General features: G+C 39.2%; 1 protein-coding gene, 1 long non-coding RNA gene and 1 pseudogene across 4 annotated transcripts in view; 2 read left to right on the forward strand and 1 right to left on the reverse strand.

The window, feature by feature from the left end:
* The window catches only part of LOC124903542 (uncharacterized), a 50105-nt gene that overhangs the window by 17821 nt on the left and 13680 nt on the right, over positions 1 to 18604 (forward strand). The gene's annotated exons all lie outside the window — the stretch shown is intronic.
* Positions 1 to 18604, reverse strand: part of BTBD1 (BTB domain containing 1) — a 50830-nt gene that overhangs the window by 13139 nt on the left and 19087 nt on the right. For all 3 annotated transcript variants that reach the window (XR_007064459.1, NM_001011885.2, NM_025238.4), the window contains exons 4-5: positions 12167 to 12364; positions 575 to 767 (exon numbers count right to left, since the gene is read on the reverse strand). Coding sequence is in view for 2 of the 3 variants with exons in the window: in NM_001011885.2 (NP_001011885.1) it covers positions 575 to 767; positions 12167 to 12364 (391 nt within the window). In the remaining variant the exon portion in view is untranslated. The remainder of the gene's footprint in view (positions 1 to 574; positions 768 to 12166; positions 12365 to 18604) is intronic.
* Positions 14746 to 15408, forward strand: FABP5P8 (fatty acid binding protein 5 pseudogene 8; annotated as a pseudogene).

Genomic DNA, 18604 nt, shown 5'->3' on the forward strand with positions numbered 1-18604 from the left:
GTGGTGATCCAAACAAAAATCATGTAACAGCTGGGCGTGGTGGCTCACCCCTGTAACCCCAGCACTTTGGAAGGCTGAAGCAGGTGGATCACTTGAGGTCAGTAGTTCGAGACCAGCCTGGACAACATGGTGAAACCCCGTCTCTACTAAAAATCCAAAAAGATTAGCTGGGCGTGGTGATGCATGCCTTACAGGTTACTCAGGAGGCTGAGGTGGGAGGATCGCTTGAACCCAGAAGGCGGAGGTTGCAGTGTGAGAGATCCCACCACTGCACTCCAGCCTGAGTGACAGAGCGACTCCATCTTGGGGAAAAACAAAAAAATCACGTAACAGAAGGTCCAACCCAATCCTTTCTTACTCTATTTTTTTCTTAAGAAGTCACCCTCACTCATAAATCAGTGAGGAGGGCAGGATGCCTCAGTGACTTCTTGACTCCTATATTAACTTAACTTAAAAGTGTATTAAATGAAGTATAAAATGAAATGTTGGTTAATTATCTCCCATAATATATAAAAAAGGCCAAATGGTAACTGCTACCCCCACTCTACCCCCGCATCCCCAATATAACAGATACCTGATTCGATCACTCGTCCCACTGTAACCCCAGCGGCTTTCTACTTGCTGGAATCTATTGATGCAGCATTCCTTTCCCCTGAGACAGCATCTTGGTCGGTCAATGTATTCAACTCGGGGTTTAGGGTTGACAGTAAAATGAAGAAAGAGGTTTACCACTTCACGATCTGACAAAATTCCAGATTGAGCAGGACCTGTGGAAATAAAAACATAAGCCTAAAAAAAGGAATTTGATTTCAATTCCTAACTTTGGAATTCACTTAACGTAAATTCAAATCTAGAGGACGTAACATAAAAATAGGGGAAAAAAATCTTAGCATATATAATTTTTGCATATATTTTAAGGTTTCAATAAATCCATTTGAGGTTAAACACATTAATTAAAATGTTAAAAGCATTAATTAGTCAAAACTTAGATCCAGGAATAAATGCTATTCCTCATGGATGCCAGGAATCCTCCTTTCTCACCTTATACAAAAATCAACTCAAGATGGATCAAAGACTTAAATCTAAGAAACCATAAAAATTCTAGAAGATAGCATCAAAAAAACTCTTCAAGACATTGGCTTAGGTAAAGAATTCATGACTAAGAACCCAAAAGCAAATGCAACAAAAACAAAAACAAATGAATGAGACCTAATTAAACTAAAAAGCTTCTGCATAGCAAAATAAATAATCAGCAGAGCAAACAGACAACCCACAGAGTGGGAGAAAATATTTGCAAACTATGCATCCAACAAAGGACTAATATCCAGAATCTACAACTCAAATCAGCAAGAAAAAAAAAACAAATAATCCCAGCACAAAGTGGGCAAAGGACATGAAGAGACAATTCTCAAAGGAAGCTATACATACGTGTGCATGTGTCTTTATAGCAGCATGATTTATAATCCTTTGGGTATATACTCAGTAATGGGACGGCTGGGTCAAATGGTATTTCTAGTTCTAGATCCTTGAGGAATCGCCACACTATCTTCCACAATGGTTGAACTAGTTTACAGCCCCACCAACAGTGTAAAAGTGTTCCTATTTCTCCACATCCTCTCCAGCATCTGTTGTTTTCTGACTTTTTAATGATCACCATTCTAACTGGTGTGAGACGGTATCTCATTGTGGTTTTGATTTGCATTTTGCTGATGGCCAGTGATGATGAGCACTTTTTCATGTGTCTGTTGGCTGCATAAATGTCTTCTTTTGAGAAGTGTCTGTTCATATCCTTCGCCCAGCAGACTTGGAACCAACCCAAATGTCCATCAATGATAGACTGGATTAAGAAAATGTGGTACATATACACCATGGAATACTATGCAGCCATAAAAAATGATGAGTTCGTGTCCTTTATAGGGACATGGATGGAGGTGGAGACCATCATTCTCAGTAAACTATCACAAGGACAAAATACCAAACACCGCATGTTCTCACTCATAGGTGCGAACTGAACAGTGAGAACACTTGGACACAGGAAGGGGAACATCACATACCGGGGCCTGCTGTGGGGCAGCGGGAGGGGGAAGGGATAGCATTAGGAGATATACCTAATGTAAATGACAAGTTAATGGGTGTAGCATACTAACATGGCACACGTATACGTATGTAACAAACCTGCACGTTGTGCACATGTACCCTAGAACTTAAAGTATAATTAAAAAAAAAAAGAAGATATACAAGCGGCCAATACACATAAGAAAAAATGCTCATCACTGATTATCATACATAGGCAAATTAAAACCACAATAAGGTACCACCTTACTCCTGCAAGAATGGCCATAATTAAAAAATAAAAAAAGAAAAATAGATGTTGGCGTGAATATGGTGAAAAGGGAACTCTTTTACACTGCTGGTGGGAATGTAAACTAGTACAACCACTAAGGAAAACAGTATGGAGATTCCTTAAAGAACTAAAAAGGACTGGGGGTGGTGGCTCATGCCTGTAATCCCAGCACTTTGGGAGGCCGAGGCAGGCAGATCCCAAGGTCAGGAGTTTGAAACCAGCCTGACCAACATGGTGAAACCCCATCTCTAACAAAAATACAAAAATTAGTTGGGTGCAGTGATGTGCGCCTGTAGTCCCAGCTACTCGGGAGGCTGAGGCAGGAGAATCACTGGAACCTGCGAGGCAGAAGTTACAGTGAGCCGAGATCGCACTACTGCACTCCAGCCTGGGCAACACAGCGAGACTCTGTCTCCAAAAAAAAAAAAGAACTAAAATTAGAACTACCATTTGATCCAGCAATTCCACCACTGGATACCTACCCAAAGGAAAATAAGTCATTACATGAAAAAGATACTTGCACGTACATGTTTATAGCAGCACTACCAACTGCAAAAATATGGAGCCAACCTAAATGCCCATCAACCAACAACTGGATGAAGAAAATGTGGTATACATACACCATGGAATACTACTCAGCCATAAAATGGAACGAAACAAAGGCTTTTGCAGCAACTTGGATGAACTTGGAGGCCATTATTCTAAGTGAAGTAACTCAGGAATGGAAAACCAAATACCATATGGTCTTACTTATAAGTGGGAGCTAAGAAACTATGAGGAGGCAAAGGCCTAAGAATGATATAATGAACTTTGGGGACTTGGGGGGAATGGTAGGAGGGAGGTGAGCGATAAAAGCCTACATGTTTGGTACCATTCCCCAACATGGTGAAACCCCATCTCTACTAAAAACACAAAATTTAGCCAAGGGCGGTGGTGGGTGCCTGTGATCCTAGCTACTAAGGAGGCTGAGGCAGGAGAATCACTTGAACCTGGAAGGTGGAGGTTGCACTGAGATGAAATTGTGCCACTGCACTCCAGGCTGGGTGACAGTCTTACTCTGTCTCAAAAAAAAAAAAAAAAAAACAGAATAGAATTGCATTCAAATGATAGATGGGAATAACTGTCAACCTTGAGCTTTCTACCCAGAAAAATATCCTTCAAAAATGAAGGCAAGCTGGGCTCAGCAGTGTGCCCCTCTAGTCCCAGCTACTCAGGAGGCTGGGGTGGGAGGATTGTTTGAGGCCAGAATTTTGAAGCTGTGAATAGCCACTGCACTCCAGCCAGGGAAACACAGCAGGGCCCCATCTCTTTTTTTAAAAAAAATGGTAAGATAAAGATGTTTTTAGACAAAAGAAAAAAAGAGTTGAGAGAATCTGGTTAGTATCCTACCTGTTTTAAAAGAAATATTGAAGAGAATTCTTCAAGCTAACAGAAATGTGCCCAGATAGAAGCACACATCTGGTCATACAGAAAAAAATGAAGATAACTGAAAGGGCAAATATATAGGCAAATCAAAAGGATTATTGACTTTAAAAATAATGTTTTGTGGGCTTTATAACATATGAAACATTAAAATACATGAAATAGTAGCACCAAAGGCTAGAGAAGGTTAAATATAGCAAAAGTATCAATAATGCCTTTATATTGTGTAGAAAATTTTAATTTAAAAATTTTAATTTTATTTATTTATTTAGAGACAGGGTCTCACTGTTGCCCAGGTATGGAGTGCAGTGGTGTGATCACGGCTAACTGCAGCCTTGAACTCCTGGGCTCAAGTGATCCCCACCTCAGCCCCCCAGGTAGCTGGGACTACAGGTGTGTACCACCACTCCAGGCTAATTTTTAAATTTTTTTTTGTAAAGACAGGGTTTCGCCATTTTGCCGAGGCTGGTCTTGAACTCGACTCAAACAATCTACCTGCCTCAGCCTCCCAAAGTGCTGGGACTAAAGGCATGAGCCACTGTGCCCCATCTAAAAAATTTAATTTTTAAGATTTAATTTAAAAATCAATAAGGATATATTCTTGTAATAACAAGGGCAACCCACTAAAATAATAATAAAAGAATCTTTAATACGGGAGGCTGAGGTGGGAGGATAACCTGAGCCCAGGAGGTTGACGCTGGAGTAAGCTGAGATCATGCCACTGCATTCCAGCCTGGGTGACAGAGGAGACACTGTCTACACCAAAAAAAAAAAAAAAAAGAAAAAGAAAAAGAAAGTTTAATAGACTATTAATCATATTAAATATAAAGTGAACCAAATATTCCAAATAAAAGGCAAAGTCTGTCAGACTGAATTTTTTAAAAATGAAGCTTACAAGAGACATGGTCAAAATAATGTAAGGCTAAAAGTAAAAGGATGAGAAAGATATAGAATTTAAAAAACCTTGAGAAACTATACCAATATCAGACAAAGACTTTAAAACAAGAAGTTTAGGCCAGGCGTGGTGGCTCATGCCAGAATGTTGGGTGACTGAGGCAAGCTGATCATTTGAGGCCAGGAGTTCGAGACTAGCCTGGCCAACATGGCAAAACCCCATCTCTACTAAAAATACAAAATTTAGCAGGGTGTGGTGGTGCACACATGTAGTCCCAGCTACTAAGGAGGCTGAGGCATGAGAATTGCCTGAACCCAGAAGGTGGACGTTGCAGTGAGCCAAGATTGTGCCACTGAACTCCGGCCTGGGTGACAGAGGGAGACTGTCTCAAAAAATAAAATAAAAAACAAAAACCCACAATAAGTTTAGATTTAAGATGAGATAGACTGTAAAGATAAAGAAGCAAATTCAATATAAAAAAAAATCCTAAATTTGAAGGTACCTAAAATAAAGAAGAAAATAAAGAAGAAAACTGATGGAACCAAAAGGAAACACATTCTCAATCATACCCTGAGATTTAAATCTACTTCTTTTAGTAACTGATAGAACAAAAAGCAAATCAATAGATAGATACATAGAAAATTTGAAGATCATTAGTATATATTCCTTTCATAGATATAGTATTCAATCTGTTGAACAGATACAGGACTATTCAGGTTTTTCTGCACATAACAAAGAAGAATACATTCTTCTCAAGTATACATGGATACTTATTACAACTACCGTATGGGCCAGGCACGGTGGCTCATGCCTGTAATCCTAGCATTTTGGGAGGCCATGATGGGTGGATCACCTGAGGTCAGGAGTTTGAGACCAGTCTGGCCAACATGGTGAAACCCTGTCTCTACTAAAAATATAAAAATTAGCCGAGCGTGGCACCGCATGCCTGTAATCCCAGCTACCGGGGAGGCTGAGGCAGGAGAATCGTTGGACCCCAGGAGGCGGAGGTTACAGTGAGCCAAGATCATGCCACTGCACTCCAGCCTGGGTGACAGAGTGAGACATTGTCTCAAAAATAAATAAAACAAAATAATAAAAAATAAATAAAACTACCATATGCTGGGCCAAAGCAGATATCAACAAATTTCAAAGCATTGAAATGATATAGAATATATTTTCTGACTATACTGGAATTAAGACAGAAATCAGCAAGAGCAAGATAAGAAGAAATCTCAAATATTTGGAAATTAAGTTATCTATAATTTATGAGTCAAAGAAAAAAAAAGCAAAAATTAAAAATTCTTAATCGAATGCTAATGAAAATACACATATTAAAAACTGTGGGGGGGAAGGATGCTGAGAGAAAAAATATACACTTAAATATATGCATTCAAAAAGAATATAGGTTGACCTTCTAAGTATCTCAAAAAGTCACAAAGACTAATAAAATAAATAACCCCAGCAAATTAAAAGCAAAGAAAGGAAAGAAAGTAATAAAGAAAAAGGCAGAAAGTAATGAAATGGAAAACATACTGTAATAGAGAAAATTAATAAAGCTAGAAGTTGGTTCCAGGAGAAAATTAATAATACAAACTCTTGAACACTGGGGGAAAAAAAGGAAATATTTCTAACTTTTGTATGAGGACAATTTTGACAATTTCATTGCAAGAAAAAAAAATATATATAGACTAATTTCTCTCATTCAGTAGTCATAAAAATACATTAAAAATTCAGCAAATTAAATCCAGTAATATATAAAAAGGATAATGCATAACAACCAAGTCTGATTTACGTAAGGAATCCAAAATAGGTTTAAATTGGGAAATCAATTAATGTAGTTCACTATATTCACAGAATAAGGGGGAAAACTGTATCATTACCAAAAAAAAAAAAAAAAAAGAATAATAGCTTGATTCCTCTAAAAGAAAGCAAGAAAGGAAAAAAAAAAAAAAGATGTGACAAGTAGAAAACAAATTGCAAGATGGTAAACATAAACCCAAATATATCTGTAATTACATTAAGTGCAAGTGAACCAAAACAGTTCAGATAAAAGACAAAGTCTGTCAGACTGGATTAAAAAATTATTGGCATATTCAACATCATTAATCATCCGTGATATGAAATTTAAAACCAAAATGAAATACGTCCTCACATCCACACAAATGGCTAGAACTACAAAAACTGACAATACCAAGTATTGGAGAGGATGTGGGCAACCAAAACAAACTCTTATGTCTCTTCACTTTGTTGATGAGTGTAAACTGTTACAACCACTTTAAGGGACTGTTTGGCAGGATGGCAGGATCTACTAAAGCCGACCATATGCACACTCCATGACTTAGCAATTCCACTCGTATATATCCAACAGAAATGTTTACGTATGTATACCAAATCACACGTACAAGAATGGCCTCAATGGTCCCCAAACAGAAATAATCCATATATCCAACAACAGTAAAATGGATAAATCATGGCACAGTTGTATAACAGAATATTATAAAGCAATGAAAAAGAATGAACTACTGCCACACTCAACCACATGGATGAATCTAACAGGCGTAATGTTAAGAGAAAGAAGCCACACAAAAATGAATACACACCATATATATGATTTCCTTTATATAAAGTTTACATATGGACACAACTAATTTATAGAAGACAGAAAGTAGTCACCTTTCAGAGGGAGATTAGTGACTTAGAGGGTCATGACAAAGGCTTCTGGGGTACTAGTACAGTAGGATAAATTGGTTAAATAAGTATGTTCACTTTATTTGTTAATTTTACTATATGGATGTTAAACTTTAATTTCAAAAGTTTATTTAAAAAAAACCCAAACACTGATTCTTATCAGCAAAAACAAAAACAATCTTGGAGAAAATTGGAACAAGTATAAGTCAGAAAAAAAAATTTGGTATAATAATAAATATACAAAGAATCAATGTAAGATAAACCAGTAAAACAAAATTTGAACACACCAACAGAACAACAAAAGACATGAATAATGTAAAGGAAAATAAATAGGCCAATAAGCATAATGAAATACAATTCAGCCAGGCACACTGGCTAAGAGGTGAAGGTGGAAGAATCACTTGAGCCCAGAAGCTCATGGCCAGCCTGAGCAACATGGCAAGACTTCATCTTTAAAACTAAAATAAAATCGAAAAATAAAAAGTAATACAATTCAAAACAATCATGAAATAGTGTTAAAAATAAAAACCATATGACTGTCTCAATAGACATGAAAAAGCATTCAATAAAATCCAGCATCTCTTCATGATAAAAGCCCTCAACAAACTAGGCATCAAAACAATATCCCCAAAATAACAAGAGCCATCTATGATAAATCCACAACTAACATCATGCTGAAAGGGCAAAAGCTAGAGGCATTCACCTTGAAATTAGAAAAAGACAAGGATGCTCACTCTAACCACTCCTATTCAACATAGTACTGGTAGTCCCAGCCAGAGCAATCAGGAAAGGAAAAGAAATAAAATGCACCCAAATAAGAAAAGAAGTCAAACTATCTCTCTTCACAGATGATATGCTTCTATACCTACAGAACCCTAAAGATTCCACCAGGCCAGGTGCGGTGGCTCACGCCTGTAATCCCAGCGCTTTGGGAGGCCAAGACAGGGTGGATCACCTGAGGTCAGGAGTTTGAGACCAGCCTGGCCAACATGGTGAAACCCCATCTCTACTAAAAATACAAAAATTAGCTAGGCACGGTGGCAGGCACCTGTAATCCCAGCTACTCGGGAGGCTGAGGCAGGAGAATCTCTTGAACCCGGGAGGCAGAGGTTGCAGTGAGCTGAGCTCGTGCCAGTGCACTCCAGCCTAGGCAACAAACAAGAAAACTCCATCTCAAAAAAATAAAAAAAGTTCCACCAAAGGCGCCTGGAACTGATAAAGAACTTCAATAAAGCCTCAGAATATAAAATTAATGTACAAAAGTCAGCAGCATTTCTATACGCCAGTAACGTTCAAGCTGAGAGCCAAATCATGAATGCAATCCCATTTACCATGTCCACACAAAAAATAAAATACCTAGAAATACATCTAACTAAGATGTATTTCTACCAGGTATTTTTACATCCATACATCTTGGTTAGATATATTTTTACCAAGTAAAAGATCTCTACAAGGAGAACTATAAAACACTGCTGGAGGAAATCACAGATGACACAAACAAATGGAAAAACATTATATGCTCGTGGATTGGAAGACTCAATATCGTTCAAATGACCATATTGCCCAAAGCAATCTACAGATTTAATGCTATTTCTATCAAACTACCAACATCATTTTTCACAGAACTAGAAAAATATTCTAAAATATGCATGGAACAAAAAAAAAGCCTAAATAGCCAAAGCAATCCTAAGCAGAAAGAACAAAATTGGAGGCATCACATTACCACTGGATTTCAAACTATACTATAAGGCTACAGTAACCAAAACAGCATGTTACTGGTACAAAAACAGACACATACACCAATGGAACAGAAAAGAGAACCCAGAAATAAAGCTGCAGACCTACAGCACCTCATCTTTGACAAAATGGGGAAAGATCCCTCTATTCAGTAAAGGGTGCTGGGAAAGTTGGCTAGCCATATGCTGAAGAATGAAACTGGACCCCTACCTTTCACCATACATAAAAATTAACTCAAGATGGATTAAAGATTTAAAGTAAGACCTCAAACTATAAGAATCCTAGAAAAAAACCTAGGAAATACTTTTCTGGACACTGGCCTTGGGAGAGAATTTATGACAAAGTCCTCAAAAGCAATTGCAACAAAAACAAAAACTGACAAGTAGGACCTAATTAAACTAAAGAGCTTCTGCACAGTAAAAGAAACTATCAACCCAACAAATGGACAACCTATAGAATGGGAGAAAATATTCACAAACTATGTGTTGGACAAAGGTCTAATATCCAGGATCTACAGGGAATTTTAACAATTCAATAAGAAAAAAAAAACTCATAAAAAGTGGGCCAAAAAATATGAACAGACATTTCTCAAAAGAAGATATACAAGCAGCCAACAAACATGAAAAAAATCCTCAACATCACTAATCATCAGAGAAATGCAAATCCAAACTACAATGAGATACCACCTCATACTCCTCAGAATGCCTATTAAAATAAAAAAAACAGTTGCTGGCAAGGCTACAGAGAAAAGGGAATTCGTGTTCACTGATGGTGGGAATGTAGATAAGGTTAGCCATTGTGGGAAGCAGTTTGGAGATTTTTTAAAGAACTCAGAACTACCAAGGTTGGGCACAGTGGCTCATGTCTGTAATCCCAGCACTCTGGGAGGCTGAGGCAGGTGGATCACTTCAGGTCAACAGTTCAAGACCAGCCTGCACAACATGGTGAAACCCCATCTCTACCAAAAAATACAAAAATTAGCTAAGCTTGGTGGCGGGCGGGCGTATGTAGTCCCAGTTACTCAGGAGGCTGAGGTGGGAGAATTGCCTGAACCCAGGAGGTGGAAGTTGCAGTGAGCTAAGATTGTACCACTGTACTCCAGCCTGGGTGACAGAGTGAGGCTCTGTCTCAAAAAAAAAAAAAAAAACCACAAACAACCTCCCAAAAAAACCAAAAAACATAGAACTACCAGTCAACCCAGCAATCCCATTACTGGTTATATATCCAAAAGAAAAGAAAATGTTCCACCAAAAGACACATGCACTCATATGTTCATCACAGCAACGACACTGACTCAACCTGGGTGCCCATCAGTGGTAGACTGGGTAGAGAATGTGACACACACACACACACACACACACACACACACGGACACACACACACCACAGAATACTATAAAGCCATAAAAAAGAACAAAATCATGCCTTTCGCAGCAACATGGATGCAGCTAGAAGCCATTATCTTAAGTGAGTTAATGCAGAAACAGTAAACCAAATACCGTATGTTCTCACTTGTGGAAGCTAAACATTGGATACACATGGACATAAAGATGGAAACAATAAGCACTGAGGACTGTTAAAAAGGGGAAAAGAGGAAGGGACAGAAGGGGGAAAAGAGTTAAAAAACTAACTACTGGACACTATGCTCACTGCCTAAGTGATGCAATCAACTGTACCTCAAACTTCAGCATCACACAATATACACATGAAACAAATCTGCACGTTACCCCGAATTTAAAATAAAAGTTGAAATTATTTTTTAAAAAATCATGAGAGCTAGGCACAGTGGCTCATGCCTATAATCCCAGCACTTTGGGAGCCCGAGGTGGGCAGATCACCTGAGGTCAGGAGTTCAAGACCAGCTTGACAAATATGGTGAAACTCTGTCTCTACTAAAAATACAAAAATTAGTTTGTGGCGGTGCACGCCTGTAATCCCAGCTACTCAGGAGGCTGAGGTGTGAGAATCGCTTGAACCCAGGAGATGGACGTTGCGGTGAGCTGAGATCGCACGACCGCACTCCAGCCTGAGCAACAGAGGGAGACCCTGTCTCAAAAAAAAAAAAAAAAAAAAAACCATGAGACTTTTCTTTCTTTTGAATCAATCTGGCCGTGATTTAAAGGCAGATAATAGTCAATTATGACCTGGGTAATGAAAACAGGTCAGAAGTGGTCATGGAGACTCAAAACAGATCTGTCTGATTTTAATCAGAAGCATCGACCTTAAGAGTCAAACAGAGGCTGGGCGTGGTGGCTTACACCTGTAATCCCAGCACTTTGGGAGGCTTGAGCCCAGGAGTTCAAGACCAGCCCTGACAGGATGGTGAAATCCTGTCTCTATAAAAAAAATTAAAAAATTAGCTGAGCATGGTAGTGTGCACCTATAGTCCCTGCTATTTGGGAGGCTGAGGTGGGAGGATTGATTGAGCCTGGGAGGTGGAGGCTTCAGTGAAATGCGTTTGTGCCACGGCACTCCAGCCTGGGTAACAGAGGAAGACTCTGTCTCAAAAAAAGAAAAAAAAGAAAAAAAAAAAAAGCCAAAAAGATCTGTCATAACCTGGGGTAAGGCACTCAACCTCTCCCAACTTTACTTCTCTAACCTATACAATGTGGATAATATAATTTTGAAGGGCTTAAAATCATACACTCGCATATATGTTTGTCATGTGATTAGTACTGAATAAAAGCTTCTTTTCCTCTCTGGCGCAGGGAGACTGATAGAATTTTTTTTTTTTTTTGAGATGGAGTCTCGTGGAATCTCGCTCTGTCGCCCGGGCTGGAATGCAACGGCATGATCTCGGCTCACTGCAACCTCCGTCTCCTGGGTTCAAGCGATTCTCCTGCCTCAGCCTCCTGAGTAGCTGAGATTACAGGTGCCCACCACCATGCCTAATTTTTTGTACTTTTAGTAGAGACGGGGTTTTACCATGTTGACAAGGCTGGTGTCGAACTCCTGTCCTCAAGTGATCCACCTGCCTTGGCCTCTCGAAAGTGCTGGGATTATAGGTGTGAGCCACCAGGCCCAGCCCTGACAGACTATTAAAACAGTTTCAAATAGATTTTGGTGAATTTATACCCTTACCTGCTGCAAATTCCTCAATTGTCATCAGTGGGAACCGGATTAAGGAAAGTGCTTTTCCTAGAACTTTTTGTTTATTCCCAAAAGTCACAGGTAATTGTTGTCTCTGACATTCTGCTTCTGCCCAGCGTACAACAGCTCCAAAAAGTCGACTTTCTCGAATACTGAGTGTGTCTCTCTCTAAAACTGCACAGAGTGTATCTATAGGCAAAATACAAAATAAACCCAATTAGAAATATTTTAGCTCTCTAACCAAGCAATACCAACAGACACACTTATATTAAGTTTTCAGATCTCAACAAAAAATAGGTTAGACACTTAAAACTACAGACTTTATACTTTAAAATACTAAATAATTAAAGGACTTAAACTCCAAAGTGTTCCATAAAAATCAGTTTAACAATCAATTTATTACTTACCATACATGCAATATTAAGATACAGTACTCTCCTTATATATTTATGCCATTTATCAAGTAAACTCAACTATCCAGAATAAGATTAACAAGCCACAGAAAAAGGTTCCAATTACATAAATTCTTAAAGTCTACAGATTATAATTCATTCGTTCATTCAGTAAATATTTATTATTAAGCACTACGTGCCAGGTACTATTAGGCAATTTTATATATATATATATATATATATATATATGTATGTATATATTTTGGATATAGAGTCATAGAGTCTCATTCTGTTGCTCAGGCTGGAGTGCAGAGGCACAATCTCGGCTCAATGCAACCTCTGCCTCCTAGGTTCAAGCAATTCTCCTGCCTCAGCCTCCTGGGTAGCTTGGATTACTGGCACGGGCCACCACACCTGGCTAATTTTTATATTTTTAGTAGAGACAGGGTTTCACCATGTTGGCCAGCCTGGTCTCAAACTTCCGACCTGAAGTGATCTGCCTGCCTCGGCCTTCCAAAGTGCTGGGATTACAGGCGTGAGCCACCGCGCCCAGCCAGCACTGATATATCACTGAACAAAAAGTTAAAAATTCCTGCCCTCATGGAGCTTACATTCTAATGAGGAGAAACAGATTAAATAAACACAAGTAAATTCGAGTATCTTAGATGATATACATGGGCAAATATGTCAGGTTAAGGAGAATCAGAAATGCAGTTTAAAATAGGAAGGGGCCAGGCATGGTGACCCATGCCAGTAGTCCCAGCAATTTAAGAGGCTGAGACAGGAGCATGGCTTGAGCCCAGGAGTTTCAGGCCAGCCTGGGCAATATAGTGAGACCCCATCTCTACAAAAAAGTTTTTAAAAATTAGCCAGGCATGGTGGCATGCACTTGTAGTCTCAGCTACTCAGGAGGCTGAGACAGCAGGATCACTCGAGCCTGGGAGGTTGCAGGCTGCAGTGAGCCATGATCATGCCATTGTACTCCAGCCCAGGCAACAGAGTGAGACTGTGCCAAAAAATAATAAAATAAAATAAAATCGGGTGGTTTAGGCAGGCTTCACTTATGCCAAGACATGAAGGAAGTGGGGGAGTAAGCCAAATAGATACCTAGAGGAATAGTATTCCAGGACTAAAAGTACAAAGGCTCTCATATTAAAGTGTGCCTGGCATATCTGAGGAATGGTAAGGAGGCCAACGTGGTGGAGTGGAGTGAGCAGGAGGGAAGAGTAGCAGGCAAGGAGGCCAGAGGCTGTGGGGAGAGGGGGCAATCATGCAGCACCCTGTAGATCATTTGGCTTTTACTCTAAGTGACATGGAGAATGCCTGGAGGATTCTGAGTTGTCACATTTTATGTTCTGAAAGGATCACCCTGGCTTCTGTGTTGAGAAGAGGCTATAGTGAAGACAATATCAGTTGGAGGCTCTTGCATCGATCCAGGTCAGGGATGGTGGCCTGGACAAGGAGGGTAGCAGTGGAAGTGGTGAAAATTGATCATATTTGGAACATATTCTGAAGGAAGACTCAATTAGATTTCCTAACAGATTGGATGTGAGGTGTGATTTAAAGAGAGGAGTCAAGAATAACTGCAAGGTTTATATAGCTTATGCACTGGAGGGATGAGGGTGGCATCAACCAAGATGGGAAAGACCACAGGAGGTGCAGGTTTGGGGTGGGGAAAGAGCTGAAGTTTCATTTTAGACATACTAAGTTTGAAATTCCTATTTGACATCCAAGTATAAACGTCATGCCTGTACCTCAGGTCCTCACTCAGAACCCTTTTCCTCTTATGATAGGCAAAATTAAAATAAGCTCAGTTACTTTTAAGTTCTAACAGCCCAGAAGCAATAAGTTCAGAAGAGAAAGGGGCTTTAGAGGCTAATATACTAGAATGAAATGATAAACTGCAATCTAACAGGGATAGAGAAAAGAGGAAATTTGTGAAAAGAAGACGTTAAGCACTTGAAAAGAATAGCTATCAAGGGTCTTATAGAGTTTTTTAAAAAAACAACACTTCACAGACCTGAGGGCTTCACTGTACAATAATAATGTAACTGATACTTAGTGAGCATTAATAATCACAAGAATCCTAAATTATATCCAGTACATATTGTTTAATATAGGCAGGTAAAATAAAACATTTTAGATTTCTCAAAGGGTCAAAATAAATACCCCAGTTCGACAGCAAGCTGCCCACGCCGACGGCAACCCTGCTCTGCATGCCCGCCCGCCCGTGCCCACCATGGCCACAGTTCAGCAGCTGGGAGGAAGATGGCGCCTGGTGGACAGCAAACGCTTTGATGAATACATGAAGGAGGAGGAGTGGGAACTGCTTTGCGAAAAATGGACGCAATGGCCAAGCCAGATTGTATCATCACTTGTGATGGCAAAAACCTCACCATAAAAACCGAGAGCACTTTGAAAACACAGTTTTCTTGTACCCTGGGAGAGAAGTTTGAAGAAACCACAGCTGATGGCAGAAAAACTCAGACTGTGTGCAGCTTTGCAGATGGTGCATTGGTTCAGCATCAGGAGTGGGATGGGAAGGAAAACACAATAACAAGAAAACTGAAAGATGGGAAATTAGTGGTGTACTGTGTCATGAACAATGTCGCCTGTACTCGGATCTATGAAAAAGTAGAATAAAAATTCCATCATCACTTTGGACAGGAGTTAACTAATAGAATGATCAAGCTCAGTTCAATGAGCAAATCTCCATAGTGTTTTTTTTCATTACTGTGTTCAATTATCTTTATCACAAACGTTTCACATGCAGCTATTTCAAAGTGTCTTGGATTAATTAGGATCATCCCTTTGGTTAATAAATAAATGTGTTTGTGCTAATAAAAAAATAATAAATACCCCAGTTCCTAAAAAACGACACTTCTAGATGGATAGGAAAATCTCTAAAGAACCTAGATAAAACAGGCACTTCTATGAAATATCTAATAGTTATACTTTAAATTAAATTTAAATAAAAATGAGTATGCTATAGTTACAGCAGAAATCAATTAAAGCATTAAATATGATTACATTATCCATAAATACATATCAGATAAACATTTCTTTAAATACTATTCTACAATATGGGCAGGCACAGTGGCTCACTCTTGTAATCCCAGCACTTTGGGAGGCCGAGGAGAGTGATCACCTGAGGTCAGGAGTTCGAGACCACCCTGGCCAACAGGATGAAACCCCATCGCCACAAAAAATACAAAAGTTAGCAGGGCGTGGTGGCAGGTGCCTGTGTAATCCCAGCTACTCGGGATGCTGGGGTCAGGAGAATCGCTTGAACCCGGGAGGCGGAGGCTGCAGTGAGTCAAGATCACGCCACTGCACTCCAGCCTGGGTGACAAGAGCAAAACTCTGCCTCAAAAAAACAAACAAACAAACAAAAAAAAACTTTTCTGCAATGGTCTACACATGCTAAGAGCCAAATATTTGCTTAATATCAAACATAAGTAATATCCTAGCAAAGGTATCATAGTCCCAAGAACACAGGAGAGGCTTAATACCATGTTAAAAATAAACTGGTTACACATAATTTTTTTTAAAAATCAAACTTTAGTATCTCTTATTGTAGCTGAGCAGATGAGTATAAACTATGGCACCACGAAGCCCTTTCATAAGTAAATTAAATGCAATCAATATGACACAACCATTTGATGGAAAACCAGAAGACTTTGAACCTACATGTCTCCACTTGGTATGCTAATAACTTCCGCAGAGATAAACACATAAACTTTATTACTAAAAAAAAAAGCACATCATACTACCCTTGGTGTAAATTCATTTTGTTCTATCAACATGATAAATTATCTTCTTCCTTTAGCAAAAGGCTGTAAGAAACAGTATCTCTTCCTCCAGAACACATATTCAAATCCCGGAGGAGAAAAAACATCCTGAGAATATAAGACAGCTATAAAAAGCTCCTGAAGCCAGCCCTTTCTTTCAGCTCCCAGTCTTCTCTTGAATTACCAATTTTTGGGGCTAGGCATAATAGTTCACACCTGTAATCCCAGCACTTTGGGAGGCTGAGGCGGGCAGATGGCTTGAGCACAGGAGTTCGAGACCTACCTAGGCAACATGGCGAAACCCCGTCTCTACCAAAAAAAACAAAAATAATAATAATAACTGATAAAAAATGTTTTTTAATTAATTACCAATTTTTAACAAGTACATTTGAAACAAACTAGTCTATGGGGTAGAAAGACAAACACATAGGTCTTCTACTGGCAGATGTGTTAAAGTACGAAGTTAAAGCTGAGAACCAAATAAAGATCAGAAAAACACAGCAGATTGTTTCATAAATATTAACACAATACTGAGTTTTCAAATAAACAACTGTGAGTCAAATCAAATGACCAAATATTTATTGGCTTCTACCCTGTACAAGGCACATACTTCAAGATTCCCAGGCTCCAACGGCATGCATAATTTAAGAGCAATTTATAAGGTGTAAGTTACCCAGATGCAGGCAGTAATGCTTCAAATGAGAACACACTGAAGAACAAATGAAGCATCTGACAGCTACCCTAACAGGGAGGAAATCTTAGGATTAAGCAATGTTTCATTAACAACTTGGGCAGTGTTTAGGGCTCTCAAATATCCAGTACTCAACAGACACCACATGCAGGTGCTGGGGAGGAATCTGATTTACTCCCCGTCCTTCAGTATATTATAAGCAGTGTATTATTTGTTCCCAAGGTACTGTGCAATACATCAACTAACAACAGGATGTTAGAACAGAGGAATATAACAAGTATCATGGACGAGGGTGGGGTATCAGCTCCCAAAAAATGAGTCATATGGAAGTGTTATTTTAGCCAAGATCTTAAGACTATGTGAGAGCCAGCCAAGATGGGAAGAAAAAGCATTATTCTAGACACAGCCAGTCAGTCCAGTTAATCAACAAATATCAGCTGAACATGTACTATATTCTTCTGTCTTTGGTGCTAGTGATAGAGTTGTACACGAGACAAAGTCCCTGCCTTCAAGGAGTTTACAATTTAGGAGAGAAAAGTAAACAATCAACATATATATACAGAGACAAATACCTAGATAAGACTTTCAGAGAGCAATGTGTATTACAAGGAAAATAAATCAGAGCAAGAGTAATGGAACAGGGATTGCTTAGGGGAACACGGTATCTAATTAAGTAGGTCTGAAGTCTCAGGTCTTCTTTAATCTGAGATGCCAAGATTCAGGGGAAGAAGGATCCTAATCAGAAGGAATAGCAAATACAAAAGAATGGAATATAAATAATCCTGGCCAGCGCATATGGGAATTGAATTAGGGGGAGAATGGTAGGAGACAAAGTCAGATGTAGGTAGTGGCTTCTACCTATTTACCAAAGATGTTTTCTCTTCTTCCTGGGATGTGACTAGTCTGCATCTCCTGGCTTCTCCAAAGTTAGGTGAGATCTTGCAACTGAATGGGACCAATAAAATAACAGCCAAAATGTAGGTGCTATATCAGGGTCAATGCTTTTAATCTGTGGGTATTTTCCCCATCCACACTTTCTCCCATCTGCCAGCAAAACACAGATAATAGCTAGGCTCTAGGGCATGACAGAACAACAAGAACGAACTACCTATTGACTATAATACTCCCTTGGTCTGTTATATGAGCGTGAAATAAACTTCTGTGTTTGAGCCAGTCTGCATTTTTGGGTCTATTTCTTACCACAGCCTGACAAATACAAGGCCTGACTCCACAGGCCTTGTATTACTGTGAGCTTTTATAAGGAATTTAAATTTTATGCAAATGGATGTGGGAAGACACTGGAAGCAAGGAAGTTATATGGGCTGATTTTTTATTTATAAAGATCATTCTGGCTGCCATGTAGAGAATGGAGTGTATGGGAGCAAGACTGCATGAAAGGAGAGACTACAAGAGACCACTGCAATTATCCAGGTGAAAGAGAATGGTGGCTTAGACTAGGTGGTAGCCACGGATATGGTTAAGTAGTGGTCAGATTCAGGATACATATTCAAAGTAGAGCCATGAGCACCTGCTGATAAGACTGCATGTGGGGTAT

This window comes from Homo sapiens, chromosome 15 (assembly GCF_000001405.40).
Source record: "Homo sapiens chromosome 15, GRCh38.p14 Primary Assembly".
Classification (NCBI taxonomy): domain Eukaryota; kingdom Metazoa; phylum Chordata; class Mammalia; order Primates; family Hominidae; genus Homo; species Homo sapiens.